At 43.0% G+C, this 18,158-nt stretch overlaps 1 protein-coding gene across 3 annotated transcripts in view, besides 2 other annotated features; it reads left to right on the top strand.

Moving 5' to 3' along the window:
• WDR27 (WD repeat domain 27) overlaps positions 1–18,158 on the top strand; it is a 275,610-nt gene that overhangs the window by 245,304 nt on the left and 12,148 nt on the right. The window lies entirely within an intron of this gene.
• Positions 5,932–6,805: an enhancer, noted in NCBI's record as "H3K4me1 hESC enhancer chr6:169850016-169850889 (GRCh37/hg19 assembly coordinates)". NCBI's record gives its function as "activates a minimal SCP1, AML or CMV promoter by ChIP-STARR-seq in primed H9 embryonic stem cells {active_cell/tissue: H9 hESC(primed)}" and the evidence as "EXISTENCE:reporter gene assay evidence [ECO:0000049][PMID:30033119]".
• Positions 6,806–7,680: an enhancer, noted in NCBI's record as "H3K4me1 hESC enhancer chr6:169849141-169850015 (GRCh37/hg19 assembly coordinates)". NCBI's record gives its function as "activates a minimal SCP1, AML or CMV promoter by ChIP-STARR-seq in naive H9 embryonic stem cells {active_cell/tissue: H9 hESC(naive)}" and the evidence as "EXISTENCE:reporter gene assay evidence [ECO:0000049][PMID:30033119]".

The following is an 18,158-nucleotide window of genomic DNA, read 5'->3' as shown; positions in this document are numbered from 1 at the left end:
ATGGTGAGCATGGCCTCTGTCCCAGGACCTTTGTCTCTGTGCACAGCATGGCTTCTGGGCCCTCCTCCCACAGTTGATGATTGAACAACTGAGGCAGGGCTCCAGAGGCTGCCTGTCCTGGGAATTGACTCTGCATGTATCAGACTCCTAAGATCCCAGGACCCCACGGTTATAAGATCCTAGAAGAATGAGGATGCTTCCAAGGCAATTCAAGATTCCAGATAACCTCAGCAGCCTGTGATGCCCCATGTGAGGACTCCTGGGACCAGCCGGAATGCCCTGATCTAGAGTGGTCTCTTTTATCCGTGAAACCAGGGAGCTGGGGGCTTTCATCCCACCCAGAGCTTCACCAGCCACCACTTGTCTCTATTTTCACAAGAGACGCAGTGTGCTGTGACCTCACCTTCTAAGAAATGTCACAGGGTTGACTTCCTGGGATCCTTACTGGAACTTTCACACATCGACCATAAATGTGCCTGCATTTTTCTCGTAATATTTTTGAGAAGCAAAAGTTTAGAATAACTCATTTTTATTTTTCCAATACTTAGAGTTACCTAAACATTTTAAAATATATTGTTTCCCCTTGGTTAAAATGAAATTTATTTAAAACTAGCTAAAAATAGATAAATAAAGCAGATGTAGAAAGCCCAGAGTCTTATTTAATATTCTTAATTTCAGTAAATCATTTAAAATTTTGACATACTGTTTCTGACACATATTGCTATGGTTTTTATATAAATTTTTCCAATGTCAAATGTGACTTTAAGAAAAAGAAATATAAAATTATTTAATCTAAATAATAATTGCTGAATAAATGTCAAAGAAGAAAACTCTAATATGTAAAATACCAAATCTATTAGAGACCTCTATCAGGGGAAGACTTAGGACAAAACAAACTTGGCAAAGCCACTGCTAGGAAGAGAGCTGTGTCAGGTTGCAGCATAAGAATAGCAGTATAAGTCCTCTGCCCATGAAGACTTTCTAGGAAGACAGCAGCCAGGAAAGCAGAGAACAAAGCCAGGGGGCATGGAGGGCAGGGCTCTGGTGTGGCCTCTGGCCTGGGGTGAAGGACTTGGCCACTGTAGACTCAAGAGGCTTCCCTGCCTGGTTCCGATCAGCAGTGCTCCCCACACCACTCAGAGGAGGAGTAGGTGGTGCTGTGAGTGGATGCCTTAGAGATCTGCCTTTCTAATGGTGGGATGTATCATGTTTATTTTTTATCTGTACTATTCTATCCATAATGAAATGTTCTGAAGTAGTGAACAGTGTGTTGTAACGTAAAACTGGTTGGTTGCTCTGCCTTCATCAAAAGGTAGTAATAAAAATAACATGTTTATGTAGAGCTTTTTAGTTTTCACTTGATTCCAATTCATCGTCTCATTGTTCTAATAGACCTGTGTGTTTGATAGGCATTGTTGTTATTCTTAGCCTCACTTTCCAAATACTTATCAAGAGCTGTGCCACAGAGAGAAGCCATGACATTCTGTCTTGGAAAATCCATTTAAAGGCATACTGCTCCCGTGCAAAGTCTGTCGACTTGATCAGGCTGAGAGGCCCTGGCCTTTTCCAAGGTCTGTGTGACGAGGACTGAGCCAGGCTTTCCAGCTGCACCTCACGCAGGACAGAGCAGCCAGGGTGTCCGGGAGGGCTCAGCTGCAGGCCAGGGCGCTCAGGTCTCAAGGAAAGTCCAGGTTCAGACACTAGGCCGGGTCGCCTGGTACCAGAGCCCGCAGTCTTTGCTCACCCATGCCCCAGGACAGCTTTCTTGATCTGTGGTGGTCCTGCTTCACCAACCGAGTGGACACAGGCTGGTGAGGAGCCCACGGCTGGGCACACACCTGTGGACAAGTGCTGTCCACCTGCAGCCCTGGCAGCCCAGCCATGGATGTGCAGGGGAGGAAGGATGAGCCCCGGCTCTGTCTAGCCTGCTGTCTCCGTGATTACAGGCTGTGAAGATTCCTTCTGGTGCTTGCGTGATAAGATGATTCATATCATGTGGCACATGTCATGGGGCTTGCACAACTTTGGCAAGTCCATGTTCTTTAGACAACAAAGCAAGAATGTGATCGTGGTCCCAAGTCTGGCCACCAAGGGGGGTGGTCTGAACATGCTGGAATAAACAATATCTGTTCGTTTTTGACATTCTGTTTAAGGCATTCTTTGCAGATGTGGGAGCTCATTCTTTTTCCTTAGCTTAAAGAAAACTGTGTGTATTTCAGACTTATTGAAGGAGGACGCCTGGGTGTTTTCAGAGTAAAGGTGCTGTTATCACTGTTTGGCAAATGATTGGCTACTTAATGGAGAAAAAGATAACCTGTGTGAGTCATGTACCCACATGCAGGTCAAGCAGCCTGGAGGAACCAGGTGGCAGCACCAACTCACCGTTTGACAGGACCACCAAGAAATCTTTCTCAGATACCTAGCAGATATCTCCGTGGTGATAAGACTAGACTGAGCCATACCCAATGACCAACATGCAAATGGTTTTGAATAGCAATTTCATATAGCTCACACAAATATGTTTTTCCAAAAAGGGAGCAGAATATAAAATCCTGCCTCCTCTCTTTTATTTCTCTCATTTCTTTTCTCCTTTCTGACAAAAATTTATTTAGTGCCAACTTTGATTCAGGTCGTCATTAGGAATAATGTAATCAATTTCTTTTTTTCTGTATGTTCCCAACTTAATTTTATTTTTACTGTTATTGTAGCATTAACATACTCTCAGAACACACTGCAGCTGCCAACCCAAAAGAGATGGTTCATGAAAGTATTGTGCACCATGGAGAGCTAATCCAAATTTTATTTTTTTGTCTGAGATAGTTCTCCAGTGGACAGCTGACAGTTAATGTTGGTGATCTGCTTTGTGTTTAGGTTATAAGTCCCTTGGGGTGTGAAATTACCTTAAGCTATGAAATTATCTTACATTTAATGAGCCCAAATTCTTACTAATCTGTATCATATTCAGTAACGTATTTGGACTTTTCAACAGAGAATTTAAGAAATGATACAATTTAATGCCTATTTTTGTCACATAAGAGGCCAAAGATTCCAGATGGTTAACATTTTAATTGAAGTTAACATGGAAGATAAATGAAACAAGCTTGACTGGTCAGTAGAAATTAGGTTCTCTGCAATTTTGAAGGTGAAGAGAAAATTGAACTGTCACTAACATGAGGACTTCAAAAGGAATAGTGGGACAACCCAGGAGAGAAAGCGTGGGACTCCCAGAGATGGAGGCTGAGGCAATGTGTCCCAGCATGTGAGCGGCAGGCTTGGATGTGGATTCCCTCCATGTAGCAACAGCACGAACCAGCCCTAGACTTACTCTTTTTTTTTTCCCAACGGATGACCTGGACATTCTGAAGTTGCATTAATAGCAAGTTTATATTCCTAATATAAATACATCTCCTCTGAGTCTTGGAAAATGGGATCAACTTAATTGTCTCCACATGTATGCTCTGGGGAGCCTGGTCCTCACTGAACCCCAGTTACAAAACCTACAGCAAATTTTTGTCCAGATCACTGTCCATCCAGCTTGCCGTGTTCTGGAGGAAGATGTTTTGTTTTATAGTTTGTGCTATAGTCATGAGAACAAGCAGCTTGTGTTCTATATCTTCTTACTTTTTGAAGCAAGTGTGCTGGGTACTGTTCACGCTGATCAGCCCTAGGCCTGGGGGCCGTGCCCTTGCAGCCACTCTGAAGCCAGTGCCCAGCCTTGTGCCTGGGAGACCAGGGAGGCTGGGGAGGGAGGCCGGGGAAGCTGACTGCACGGCAGCTGAGGTCACAGCTGCTTGTGGAGAGAAGCTTCAAGTTGACATCACTGTGAGCTAAAACCGTGGCTACCCTCCGGATAACAAAGCAAGCTATTGGCAGGAAGAAAGGGAAAATTACGAAAATTAAACAAGGCAAGCATTAATGCCATATTGCCTTTTCTCTCTGAAATGCAAGATTTGGCAAAGCCAATTTCCACATTTGGCCGTGGCCTCTCAGGCTTCTGTGCCATCCCCGTGGAACGTGGTGCTGATCCTGGGTCTCCCCTCTCCAGCCCTGGCTTTGTCCACTTTGCCCCTCCTGGGCTCCGCCTTGCCCTCCTCCTGCGGCTGCCATGCCCGTCCTGAACTCAGCTCCTCTCTGACCCCACGCACGGCTCCTCTCTGACCCCACGCACGGCTCCTCTCTGACCCCACGCACGGCTCCTCTCTGACCCCACGCACGGCTCCTCTCTGACCCCACGTCCGGGGCTGCGTCCCGCCTCGGCTGCTCTCACTGCAGCCGTTTCTTCACAGGGTGATCCTCACAGAAACACTCAAAGCCTTCTGTTACGTACAAAGGACCGCGTGTCAGTAATCTACAGCCATTTACCAGTTACCAAGAAAACACGGACGTTTCCACTAAAAATCGCAAACGTTTCTTTCAAGCAAGGAGCGCCCTGCGCCAGAGGCTGTGGGAGGAGTGAGGAGTCTGGGTTCGTTCCAGCCGCAGTGAGTAAGGCGTGGGTGACTCCGAGCATTGCAGAGGCATGAGGAAACGAAAACAAAACCTGCCGAAGTGGGGCCTTACTGACTTATCTTCCACTGTGAAATAAATAAAATAATGTTTTTCTTTCAAAGATGTGGAACAAATCCATGCAGTTTGCTGTGGTTGTTTTAAAACAAACTAGAATTTTAAAAACATTTTGGAATAGCTAAGTTGACCATCTTGTCTCCATAAATGGAGAAAAATATTTTGCTCTTCAAAAGACAGCATTAGGAAACAATAAGTAGACCACAGAATGGGAGAAAATATTTACAATATTATATCAGCCAAAAGACGTGTGTTAAGATAATATTTAAAAAAACACAGTTTATAATAAAAAGCAATAAAAAATGAGCAAAATATTTGACTAGGCACTTTAAGAAAGAAGACACATATATGACAATATGAAAGAAAAAATTTCTCAGTATTATTCCTCATTAGGAAAATGCAAATTAAAACCAAAACGAGATGTCTCTACACATTCACTAGAACAATATCAATAACTTAAACATATTGACAATACCAAACGTTGACAAGGATGTGGTTCAGTGGAAACTTTTAAATTCTGCTGACAGAGTGTAAAACGGTATAGTTTGGAAATATGTTCGGGAGTTTCTGAAAAAGTTAAACATACATTTACTCATGTCTAAGCAATTCAACTTCTAGGTACTTATCTATGAGAAATGAATATACATGTCCACAAACACCTTTGTAAACCAAAAAGTATCTGAGACAAGTCTCAATAAATTTAGAAAGTTATTTTGCCAAGGTTGAGGACGTGCCGTGACACAGCCTCAGGAGGTCCTGGTGATGGTGGTCGGGGAACAGCTTGGTTTTATACATTTTAGGGAGACATGAGACATCAATCATTATATGTATGATGTACATTGGTTCTATCTGGAAAGACAGGACAAGTCAAAGCGCGCAGGGGGCTTCCAGGTTGTAGGTAGATAAGAGACAAATGGCTGCATTCTTTTAAGTTTCTGATTAGCCTTTCACCGAATGCACAATTTACTGGAATAGTTACGTATGCCTTAGTCTGGCTGGGTGAAACAACAGGGCGGAGGAAGCATTCCGATCTGTGTTTGTCTCATGTGAGCGGAGGGATGATTGAGTTCTGTCTGTCCTTGTTCCACAAGGAAGTTCCTTGTGAGCAAATTGTGAGGGAGGAACAGCGTTTTTATCTTTGTAGCTATCTTATTTAGGAATAGGATGGGAGGCAGCTCCCAGCTTGACTTTCCCCTTTGTTTAGTGATTGATTTATTTTCCTTTCATACCTAATATGAGACTGTTCATAGGAGCTTCATTCACAGCAGGCGGAAGCACTCATCTGGTGTCTATCCAGTGTGGATAGATGGTGGTGTTCCATGCAGTAGAATTTTCCTCAGCAACACCAAGGAGCAAACCGCTGATCCTAGCAGAGACACGCTGGATCTCGGGACCGCTACGCTGAGTGGAAGACACCAGATGGAAAAGGGTGCCTGCTCTGTGACCCAGATTCTATGAAGTCTCTAGACTCACTCAAACCACCTCTGACTAAAGAAGCCAGACCCAGTGTACTCTGGGGCCTGCCTGGATGGGGCAGAGACGTTCTGTGGGGTGATGGGTGAGCTCTGTCATCCTGGGGGGCTCCCTGAGCACGTGCCATGTATGTGAATGATATCTCAATACATTTCCCTTAAACGGGAGAGGCACACCCTGTCTGCACATTTCCAGCAGTGGTGGTTGGGTGAGGGCCGTGACAGGCAGCTCAGCTGTAGAACTGTGGCCTCGCTCCTGTGCAATTCCGTTCATTTACTCATTCAACAGTATCTTTAGAGCAGCCACTGAGTTCCAGGCTCCGTCTGGCACTTGGGAAGCAGCAGTGAACAAAGGAATGAAACCCGGAGCTGGCATTCCCGCGAGTCTGCAGAGGCAGCTTCCTCCAGGGCTCCCTGCTGCCTGGGGCTGCAGCCTCCTCTCTCCAGGGGATTTGGCACCACCAAAGCTCCCCGCTGGCAGCTGTCGGACTCCTTCATGCAGAGCAGAGCGGTGCCCATGACGCTGTTGCTCCCCAGTCTTCGTAATGATGATGTAGTTTCCTTAAAGTCCTAGACTCAAAAGTGGGAAAGGGTCAGAGGCCATATCTCTAATTTCATTGGTATAATTGCAAAAGAATAGATTTTGGTGAGTGTGACTTCTGGAAGAAAGGTAATAAATTAAAATATACAAAGAAAATTTTAAAATATTGAGTAATTATTCACCCCAAATAGTCAAGCACCATATTAAGCTTCTTAAATTATGGTGCTGGCTTCTTTCTCGCTCTGTTGCTCAAATATTGTGGTAGTTTAGTGTGCATGGGCTCTCCCTTCTGTATTTCTCGTCAGAAGGCCTAGTTAGTTTCCACGATGGTTATGGACATACGCTTTGGTGTGACTGTGTTCCCTGCATTCGGAAATGCCTTCCTAGGTCGGGATGCTCACCTTCCACCACATGCTCCCCAGGACCTTGCTCCTCCTGCCGGATTTGAAAACTGGTCCGCATCCCTCTCCTATCCTTCTTTCTCATAGCTTCTGCCTTTGACACTAAGAGGGTGGCCAAATGACCTCCAGGCAAGAGATGGTGGGGCTGGGGCAGGCAGGGGAAAGGACTGCAGTCCCGGTGCCCACACGGCTGCTCAGGCAGGCCCCAGGATGAGCCTGCAGAGTCAGCATGCTAAGGCCCTCTGCTTGCCTAGGGTCGACGTGTTCCCCTTCCCACGTTGGAGGCATGTGATCCTGTCTGCTGCACTATGTGAAAGAAAACACCACTCGTTGCACAATTTTCCTTTGTCTCCATAGATTCAAACTTTGTGAGATATCTCAGGAATTCCCCTGGAGTTTGTACAAAATCTTTGCATATATTATCATTTACCTTAGGTGAAAACATTTGAAATCAACTATTTCAAGGACTGGGAATAGAGGAGAGAGGTGAATGAGTGGCTCTTACTCATTGGAAAGTTAATGCCATTCAGAATGTAGTAATCCATTTAGAGGGCATAAATCTGAATACGTGCTCTGTAGGCTACATTCTATATGGCAGAGTTTTCATCCCAGACATCCATTGCTCATATTGCCAAAAAACCATGACTGGAGAGAAACTGTCAGCCTTTGAAACAATACACGTCGTAGGCAAGTTTTTTGACTAAACGTAGAAAATATGACCTATGTTTTAGTTCTTATATGCCAGCTAGTGATAATTTTTGGTGTGGGCTGTGATATGATAAGGAAACAGAAAGGGTGGAAGAGATTTTGGAGGGGGAGTTAGAGGCTGCATGCACTCTTGCCGTGATAATGTTGGTGGCTTTGCACAAGGGTGGGCCGGGCTCTGCTCTGGACATGGGTTAGAGCCCTGCAGGTGTCTCCTCACTGTGGGACAAGTGCCCACCTGGATCGGTTCTGCTTATGGCAGAGGACAAAAGTGCAGGATGCCAGCAAACTGCAAGCCCATCTGTAGGCTCTCCCAGTGTCTGCTGTAGTCCAGAGTAGGCCACACGGCCACGTGCAGGTCGGTGAATGGGATGAAGGGGAATGTTCACCTCTTCTCACCAGGGGCACAGCCAAGTCACTCGGCAAAGGGCTCAGGACACAGGTGCAAGGAAGTGTATATTAGGAGCAGCAGTGCAGCCGCCACCGGCTTCCGACAGCTATTTCGGGCTTCTGTGTATTGTGGCACTCAGCTGAGTACAGGTGTGTGCCTTGCACATCATACTCCTTCTCTTTATGCACCTCAACTGTATCTGCACAATAGTAAAAAAATATATATATATACATACACACACACACACACACACACACACATAGAGACAGAGACAGAGGGAGAGAGAGAGAGAGAGAGAAAATCAACAACAGCAAAAACAGCACAGCAACCATACTCCCTGTCCCAAATGGTGGTGATAAGAAAAAAGGAAAAAAATGGCCTAAACGCTACTATGAATGATAAAAGAAATGATCCCACCAATTGCCCGATAGAAAACACATGTAAAATATGGCCAGGCACGGTGGCTCACGCCTGTAATCTCAGCACTTCGGGAGGCTGAGGCAGGCAGATCACCTGAGGTCAGGAGTTTGAAAACATACATGTAAAATATTAGTATATTATAAAATCTTATGCACTTCAACATTATTAATAGTATAACAAAATAGCATTCTTGTATTGAGAGATGTTTGACCTAGGGAAATATTCAAGAGTAGATTTAGTATAAATTCTAAAGTACTAATAGAGTTTTAGTTAGGAACCCCTTACTGTTGTATCATTTTTGGTGAGGGAAGTAAGTATAAAATCCAACTCATTGACTTCCCAACTCTGACCCAGAAATTGATTTAAAAAGTTTTTATTGCAGATGAATTATTCTGTATATAGACATTAGTGATTGTTAATAGCCCCAGTTAGAATCCCTGAAGAGACATTCTTGGAAGAAAATAATTTGTCCTGAAGGAAGTACCAAAACAAACAAGTAAATATCCAAAGTAGTACTTGAATACTTGAGACAAATGAGATTGATGGAAACCCCACCTGTGTCGGTCCACCCACCCTGTGGATGAAGTCAGAGGAGGTGTGATGGCCTCCACTTGAGAGTTTGTTCTGAAAATCCCTAGACTCCAATATTGCACAGTAGTAATCACAGAGTCTCCTTATGTAAAAACAAAACAACACAGAATTACTTGTAAATTGGACTTCCATGCTCAATGATGGGTTGTTGAAATCCAAGTCGTTATTGCTTTGTCCAGTTTTAGCTTCAAGAGAAGAAATGGAATCTGAAGACCACCCAGAGATTTCCCACTAAAATGCCTGATGACCCCAGGAAGTTTTATCAAACATTTAAAAAAATTGAAGAAAAACTTTTTATAAAAGATTTGTTGAGGATAGTATTTTCTTCAAAAACTGGCTTTCTTCCCTGACATATTTAAATTGCGTATAATTGAAATATACTAACATAAAAACACAGCTCATAAGTGTGAAGCAAAAATTCAACTTTGGAAAAATGTTGTTAAATTTGGTTTTCCAGTCATGTGTAGTTAGTGCTATAATATGAATCCTAAAGAAAAAAATTAGTACAGAAATACCTGCATCTTCTTATGGAAAAATTTTATTGTGACTTTGAAATACTTGATTTTTAAAAGTGCCATTAGATTGGAAATCTTTTTGCATTATCATAAGAAATTTCAACTACGTTTTTCAATGAGAGAAAATAAAAAAAGATGTATAGAATGATCACATGCTTCTCAGCCCATTTTAGAAAGACCAACTTTTCCAATTTTTGTGTAATGGCCAGACAGGACATTCAGTCAACCAGGAGAAGTGGCCGCTTTTAATCACTTAAGCGTGAGAGCAGGACTGTTGTCTCTCAATACAAGAATGCTATTTTGTTGTACTATTAATAATGTTAATAACCAAGTGGTTATCACAGTGACTCCTTAAATTCTGAGTCAGGAAATTCTTGTAGCCAATTTACTCATAAAGCTTGGTGTAAAAGAGTTATGTTTGTAAGAACAAGCTAAAATTTTCATTTAAAGTTTGAGTAGACCTTTGCTGGAAGTATTGTTCAAACTCAACCTTTTAAGATCTTTCCTCCTGCTTTGTGTTTTACTTTTCTTTCACGATTACATAACATAAAAAAGGCATTTTCTCCCTCCTGCCCCCTGCAGATGCTCCCAAATCCTGTGGTTTGCCCCGGTGTGCCACAGACTTTTCTGTTTCTGTGTGTGCCATGGTAAGGAAATGTTAAGAAGTCCTGGACCACACCACAGAAGCCAGACCTCGCCTTGTGCCCGGCCCCTGCCCACCTTCCCTGCACCCTGGTCCCGCCTTGTGCCCGGCCCCTGCCCACCTTCCCTGCACCCTGGTCCTGCCGTGGGCTTCCAGAGTCCTTTAACTCAGGACTGGCTTCCCAGAAGTCCCCCCACCCTGCCTCTGACCTGGGTGCTCAGGTGCCCATCACATGCCACCCTCAACAGGCTCTCTGAAGACAAGCCTGTGGGTCATGATTTCCCGCTCCCCCAGCTCGTGCTGCACGGCAGCTCAGCAGCAGGTCTGCTCCTCTGTGCTGAACTGAAGGGAGCCGAGTGCTCGCCCTCCGTCCGGGCCGGAGCTCAGATCGTCCTGCCTCACGTACAAGAAGTAACCAGTTCTTTGGCCTTCAGACTCCCTGTTTCACTGGGTAAGTGACAGAGCCCTTTCATTAAGTGCCACACCTCATTGTGGAGCCTGTGTAAACACAAATCACAGGCTGGGGCAGCCAGCTCTGTTGCAGAGGGAGGGGGGCCTGCAGGGGCCTGCCTCCCCCCACCCCACCCAGCCCAGCCTGCAAAGACTCAGTCAGGGCTCGGGGGTCCAGGCGTCACCGGCTATTGCCGGATTCCTTGAGAAGCTTCGAGAGCTGGGAGCACCGCCTCGGTCTGCAGCTGCAGGCAGGGATGTGCTGCCAGACCTCCGCTGTGATGGGAGGGACTGCAGAGCGCAGGTGCAGTGCTGGCGGCTGAAGCAGGGCGGGCCCAGAGGAGCTCTCAGGTGCATTTCATAGTTCCTTTCATCCCTGGACTTTCAGAAGGGACTGACAGGAAAGCTCCATGGCAATAACTAATCTTGTTTTTAGATTTTCGTTTGTAATAATAGCTAATGTTCACAGAATGCTTGCTGGGTGACGGCCACTATCTACACATTAACTCATTCAGTTCTCCCAACACCACCATAATGTAGGACCTACAATTAATTCTGTTTTACAGCTGGGGAAACAGGGGCAGAGGGTGGCATTTACAGCCTGGTTGCTAGTGGTGGAAGTGGGAATTACACCGGAGACCCTACACCTTCGCGGTCCAGGCTCATGATCATGACCTGCGGTGGAGACCCCAGGAAGTCTCCTCTGTGTATTTATTAGGGATTTTCCAGCAGCACAGAGGACTCCCCGTAGTCTCAGTGAAAGTAGGCAGGGCTCTAAATTTATTCAGGATCAACACAAAACCAGCAAATTAGAAGACTTAAGAACTAGAACCCAAGCCATCATCTGCACGTGTGACAATTCTTATGATAGCATCACGCTTTTGCTTTTCCTACAGTGAGTTTGGTATTTTTACTTAGCTCAGTGGGCTGGGACCACGGCAAGCCAGCCATCGTTATTGTTTGTATTTGAAGTTGATAAGGACTGGACACACGAATCCCATCCTGTGTGCCAGACACTCTTCTAAGCTCTTTACCTGTTTGAACACACTTGATCCTCACCCTGAGCTTACAGGTAAGGGATAGTATTGTCCTCATTCTGCAGAGGAGGACACAAGAGAACATGCTTGATTCCTGCATGCACAGAGGGCTGTGCAGCCTCTGGCAAAAGGGCAGCCCAGGATTGGGCTACTTGACATAAGAACAGTGACACTGTTTGCCTCAGACCCTGGGAATGACAGAGGCCCCTGTATATACACTTTCTTCACTTGGATTTACTTGGATTTTGCCTCTAGCAGGATCTGGTTGTTTCTGAAGCTGCAAAATCTAAACCGTTGCAAAACAACAAAAGACGAAAAAAAAAAAAACAAAAAAACAGTCCACCATCTCTTGAGGACTGGCTCATAAGTCAACCTCTAAAGTGAAGGCACCAATCACTGGCTTGGGTCTCTGGAGATGTTGCTTGTAAAGGAGGCAGCGGTGGTTGGCCTCAGACGTGTGGCCCCTGCCGGCTCTGGCCAGCCCTGGTGGAGCTGGGACAGCAGGGACTCTCAGAAATGCTTCTTGAGTTGCATCAAAGGATCCCAAAGAGACCCATCTCACAGTTGAGTGCTGCTGAAATCATCCGACACGGGGCTGTATGATGAATGCCCTTGGCAGCAGACACAGGCTAATGAGGGACAAACACACTGCACAGTCTAGAGCCAAACACATTCTTTTTAGAGGAGACCATCATTTGATGATGCATATATAGGGCAGTTATTTGGCTCCTGGGAAGTAGAGGGTGGGCAGGTGATGGAGTGGGTAGCAGACTCACTACCAGGCCAGGAGCGCGTAAGTTTTTGCGGGAGTTAGATAAAGGATATGGGCAAATAGGGATCTGGCAGAGCACCTGTGCTTGTGGGGATGGAATCATGGCCATTTGCAAAGCCATCTGGACACGTGACTGGGAGTCTCATGCACTTCAGCCCCAGACCCTGGGAATAGAGCCAGCGTTGGCATCCAGCATCTGAGCACGTTGACTGCAACCTGCTCAGCTGAAGGAGGGGCTATGGCAAGGAGCTCATGTCTATGCCGCCATCTTCCTTTTATAAATAATGAAATCGACATCCCTACGTGCCTTGCTGGAGGTGGCAATGCCAGGTTGGAAACCCAGGCCTGAATGACTCTGTTTTGGACCTCTTGGGAGGCTTTGTGGACTCAAAGAAGGACAAGGTTCTTAGTATACATGAAGTCTTCTATTGGAGGCAGCTGCCCCTGCTATGAGGACCCAAGAGCTGCTAGGAACCACCTTCATGTGCATGTCCTTGGTGGCTGAGCGATGACATCAGGCCTGAGCTCCCTGCCTCTGAAGGGTCTGTCCTGAGTTCTGTGGCTCCTCCTCAGCCTATGTGTGTCATCCAGGTCCCTTGCAGGATTGCTGGCTTAGCTCTAGTATTTCCATTCTTACTGCTATGGACACGACCTCTGGCATGGACTTCCTGTTGGTCAGCAGGGCCAGAGCACCCAGCCTTCCAGACATCTCTAAATCTTTCCATCTTACAGTTATCCAAAAATAAAATGTACACACAGCACCACTAATGTGTACCCCAGGTGCAAATTTCCATATGTTACTGTAAAGTAGTATTTTAAAATAGATTAGAAAACATGCCTATCAAAGCGAATGGAACCATTCTCTTAAATATTAAGATGAATCATGGCTATCAAAGTTTGTGTTTCAAATGAATAACAGGAGAGTTAAACAATCTCTTAGTTCCAAGTACCCAGCCTGGGAGGCGAGGGTCCTGCTGAGCTTGGGTGACGGCACGTGTTGCTGTCCACGCATCCATTCTGTGGCTGACGTGGCAGGGGAGACCAGAGGACATGGAGGCCAGATCTGGCTTCAATCTGCATGAACCATTTAAACCTCATGAAAATATGTCCTGTGTTCCCAACCTCAGCCCACTTTCCTTGCATGTTTTGTGTCATAGGTCTTCACTCAGACATAGGTAATTCTTTCTTTAAATGCTCATCACATTGTCTTTTGGAATGTGGTCTCCTCTCATTGCCATTGGTAGTCTGTGACTGTTGGCTTTGCAGAATTGTATCAGTTATTAGAGTTTTTTGGTTGCAAGCCACAGAAAATAACTGTGGCATGCTTAATAGCATTGGGAATGTGTGGGGGTGGTGGTGGCCTGCAGAATCCCCAGGCAGCAGGAGGAGGTGTGGGCTCAGGTACAGGCTCAGTCGTCCTGCATCCGTCAGGACAGGACAACTCCAAGGCCAGGTGGCCAGATATGCTCTCCACTGAGCTTCCCACCTATTCTCACTCCAGACTCCAAGCTGTGGTCCCACTCGGTTATGTGCCCACTCCTGGGCCAGGGAAAGGCAGGAGACCACAGGGGACACAGCCAGAGCCACCACTACTACCTCATGAGAAGACAAATTCTTGAAGGGGAGTCAAGATATTTCTGGAAAAAAGAATGATTGTTTGTGGAGGGTGAAAACATGATACAATATTTTCCTAAAATTAGAAGATCTTAAGGAAATAAGGAGATAAAAATATAAAGTTTTACCTTTTACCTTTCACCTGTAAAAGAAAATACAAAACAAACATGAAAAGGGAGGTTCCATATCTCTCCTGATTCTAGATGCTGGGTGTCTATTTTATAAGAATTCTTTCAGACATAAAACATTAACAGGCATGTGTAAATATGGTTTATTGTTTCCAGTAATCTTGGCAGTTACTTGAGTCTAAATTATTTGCCTCAGGAGAGCATATTGTGAGGGCAATAAAGGGAGCCTTTTGAATTCTATTGATAAAGATGTGATTAACACCATTAAGAAGGGAGGAAAAGACTTTCAGTTCCAAACACAACACTGAGAAAACAGAGATGAGGATCCATTTAATTCTTGCTGTCTGAGTGTTTATAGCAGACGAACCTGGCCCATGGGGCAGGGCATGGCTGAACTTTTCAATTCTGGGATGACTTTTCTTATAATTGCCAATGGCCATCACAAGTCAGGGGAAATATTTTATTTTTTTGGCTGAATATCCCAGTTATGTATATAGATAAACATAAAAATAGAACCTATGTGATGGTTTTCCCAAAGCCGTCCTCTTTTTTAAAAACATTTTGCTTCTGAGGTGGCATATGAGTATTGTCAAAGTCAAATAAAAATATATACATGAATCTCTAAATAAAGTGTTTTATTTTAGAGAACAGACTTCAGCTTGAAGCATACACACAGACTAGGTGGTCTTCAGTATGTCCAAAGAAGAAAGAAGATTAAGGGTCTTCTTAGAAAGAAAAATGTTATGCATTGTTGTGAAAGAAAATTCATTGGCACTAGCAAGGTTTTAGGGAGCTGGCAAGCTCGGATTGGTGAGTGACAAGAGTGGGTAACACTAGTCTTGGAGTCACAGGAGTTTGTTTCAGCATCTCCTGCGTAAAAATGGCCTTAAGGTTGCAGCAAGTGACCTGGCAGCTGGCTGGTGAGATTGTCGCTGGGTAACTGACATGGCAGCTGGTTGATAGTGTCCCTGGGCAAGTGACTTGGCAGCTGGCTGGTGAGATTGTCCCTGGGCAAGTGACCTGTGCCTCGGTGCTTCCCACCTGCCGCTGGTCTGACTCTAATCTACTTAGGTGGACAAGTTAACTTCAGTTCACATCATTAATTCTCACATTTCCCCCTTTTGATCAAGATCTTTTTCTGAAAATGTTACTGATCAACTGTCTTGAAATTAGGTTTAATTGTCTTTTGGTGCTTAGTGGACCTGTCTTGGTGGTCTCTGGTCCCCCATCGGGGGAAGTAAGGTAGTCAACATCAGGGACCCAGACCGCATTTGAGTAACAAAGGTGCCAGAAAGAAAAACAGAATGAAACAACCAAAACCTTTCTTAGGGCAGGTTTGCCTGGAGTTTAGCATCAAGTTCTACCTTATTAGTCTCTTAGGCATTGTCAATAATCTCAAAGTATTTGGCTAACATCATCCTGTTGAGATAACTGATTTTTACAAAGATTAGACAAAACACAAGAACAGAGCTTAAATATCAAGAGCAAAATACAAGAAAAAAAAACCCAGCAACAATATAATAAATTTAATTTGTACAAAGGTTTTTAACCAAGAGCTCATGCCTAAGGGCAACCAACTCAGCAGATGAAAAAGCCATAGAGGAAGTGGGAAGACTTGTTGTAGCCATGGACTAGCATTTCATGATTAAGATGAATTAAAGCAGAGTGCCAGCTCTGTAGAAAGGACCATTAGTACAATTAGAACAAAAAGTTGTCTTGGGGGTATTGCCAAAATTACCCAACAGGTGGACTTAAGAATTGCTTAAGTCAGGTTTTGTTATGTTATTCATATCGGGTATGATTCTAAACTTTTAATTATGAGCTCATTGTAATTATTATTACAATAATAAATAGATTTTCACTTAAGTAATCTATTATTTAAGTGAAAAAGATAGGCATTAAGAGGGGCAACGGTCTTATTAGAACATGGAGTCTTGGTTTAGTGCTCTTGGGAAAAGTTGCCTACAGCATGAAGTTGGCAGTTTCACAGTTTGAATGTCTCCCATTATGTCACTGGGTGGTTTGGTGAACTCTGTGTAGCCCACACACTAGGCGTGAGGCTTGTCCCCTGAAATTTATTTAAACTAAAACTAAAAACTAAATTTAAACTGTAATTTGTTTATAGGGCGTTAGGAAATAACTATTTCTCTTCTTAGTAATTCTGTGAGAGAAAAATTGAATTACAGGAACTTAGGAGAGTTTAGTATCCTGTCCAGCCTACAGGTAGATAATAAAAACTCAAAAACAATGCATAGGGTTACAGTCTAAAAACAATATACTATAGACAGCCCAATTTTTACAAAAGATCATTAGAGTAACACTAATTTGTTTGTAACATAAATTCAGATTTATTAGATTTGGCCTGATTGTTTATATTAGTATAGCAAGCATAATGATTGAATCTCAGATTGGACCTTTGTTAAAAATATTTTGAAGCTAGGAAGCCAAATCAAGGCAGGCTTCAGATTTTATCTTCAGTATGTATGAGTATAAACAATGTAAAATATGATATATTAATTTTAAATGTGATATATTAAATAATTATATTACCAATATAATAATATTGGTAATATAACTACCAATATAATAATATTGGTAATATAACTACCAATATAATATTGGTAATATAATTAACGATTATAATTGCATCCTATTAAAAACCATACTGTCATAACATAAAAAACTCATGAATAGTTTTCAAGTTTTGAAGGGATCAAGTAGAAAAGTAAATGTTTTCACCTTTGTTTATTAAAGTGCACTTTACCAAATTGCTGTAAGCTATAGGCAGCTCAAGAAAGAAAGTTTTCTTAAATATGGAAAACAAAATATTTAAATGAATAACCAATAATGTTTCAAATAAAAGTCATAAAAATCATAATTTTTATCAGTTATTCAATCTCAGGCAATTAAATTTTGTTCTTCATTATCTTGGTTAGCAGTTTTATGAACCTGTTAGCATTTTAGAAATTTTTATTTAGTCCATTGATCTTAAAGTTACTAGACATCTGTACTGAGGAGTACTTGCTAGAATCTTTTTTATGAATCTTGTTGCAGATGCCACTAGATAAGAATCAGCACTGTAGATGACCAAAAAATTAGAACAGTCACAGTTATAATGTGATAAAAGTTCAGCAATTGATTAAGAAATTTAGTTATTTCTATTGTGTATGGCATTTTAAGATAACAACCAAAATCATTACTGATAGCATCACAGTAAGAACCATCAGACCTTTATAAATTTTATAAATGTTAAAGCATTCACATCAATAATGCATCCATCTAAATATAATTTTAGTAAGAGCTAGTGTCACTTTATTATTTGACAGTGCCTTTATACAACCCATCGAATAAGCATCATGGGAGATGCATCGTTTGATGTTTTTTTGGGGCCCAACTGAAAAATCCCAAAGTCAATTTAAGCTTAAAAGTACTTAAATTAGAATTTGATTTTGGGGAAGTTTGTTAAAGATGTTAAAAAAACTTAAAACATTTAATTAAAATATAATCAGATGTCATTGTGAGATAATTATTTAATCAGAGTGATTATTAAAAGACTTCAAAAGCAAATATAAAAAGTTACATAGTTCAGAGGGAAAAAACTTAGACCTGTACTAGAGATGACCTAGTTTTTCTAAGTAGTAAAAAACTAATAAAGACAGCACCAAGCACAAGAACTTATCTTAAAATATAAAATATCTGTTTCTTAGGCTGATTACTTGAAAGGTAAGTGAAAAGCCTCCTACAGTATGACTGCCTTTCCTATGGGAAGCCCATTTGGATAACCTAGAAGTTGAACCTCATGGAAAGGTACTTGAATCCAATTAGATACTGCGAGAGTATGTGTCCAAGATTATGAGTGTACACTTTATTAAAAAGGAATAAAGTAAACAAGAAAACCAGTACCTTGATCAGGGG

This window comes from Homo sapiens, chromosome 6 (assembly GCF_000001405.40).
Source record: "Homo sapiens chromosome 6, GRCh38.p14 Primary Assembly".
In the NCBI taxonomy this organism is placed as follows: Eukaryota; Metazoa; Chordata; class Mammalia; order Primates; family Hominidae; genus Homo; species Homo sapiens.
The sequence above is the reverse complement of the archived record's forward strand: the minus strand, read 5'-3'. Positions and strand labels throughout refer to the sequence as shown.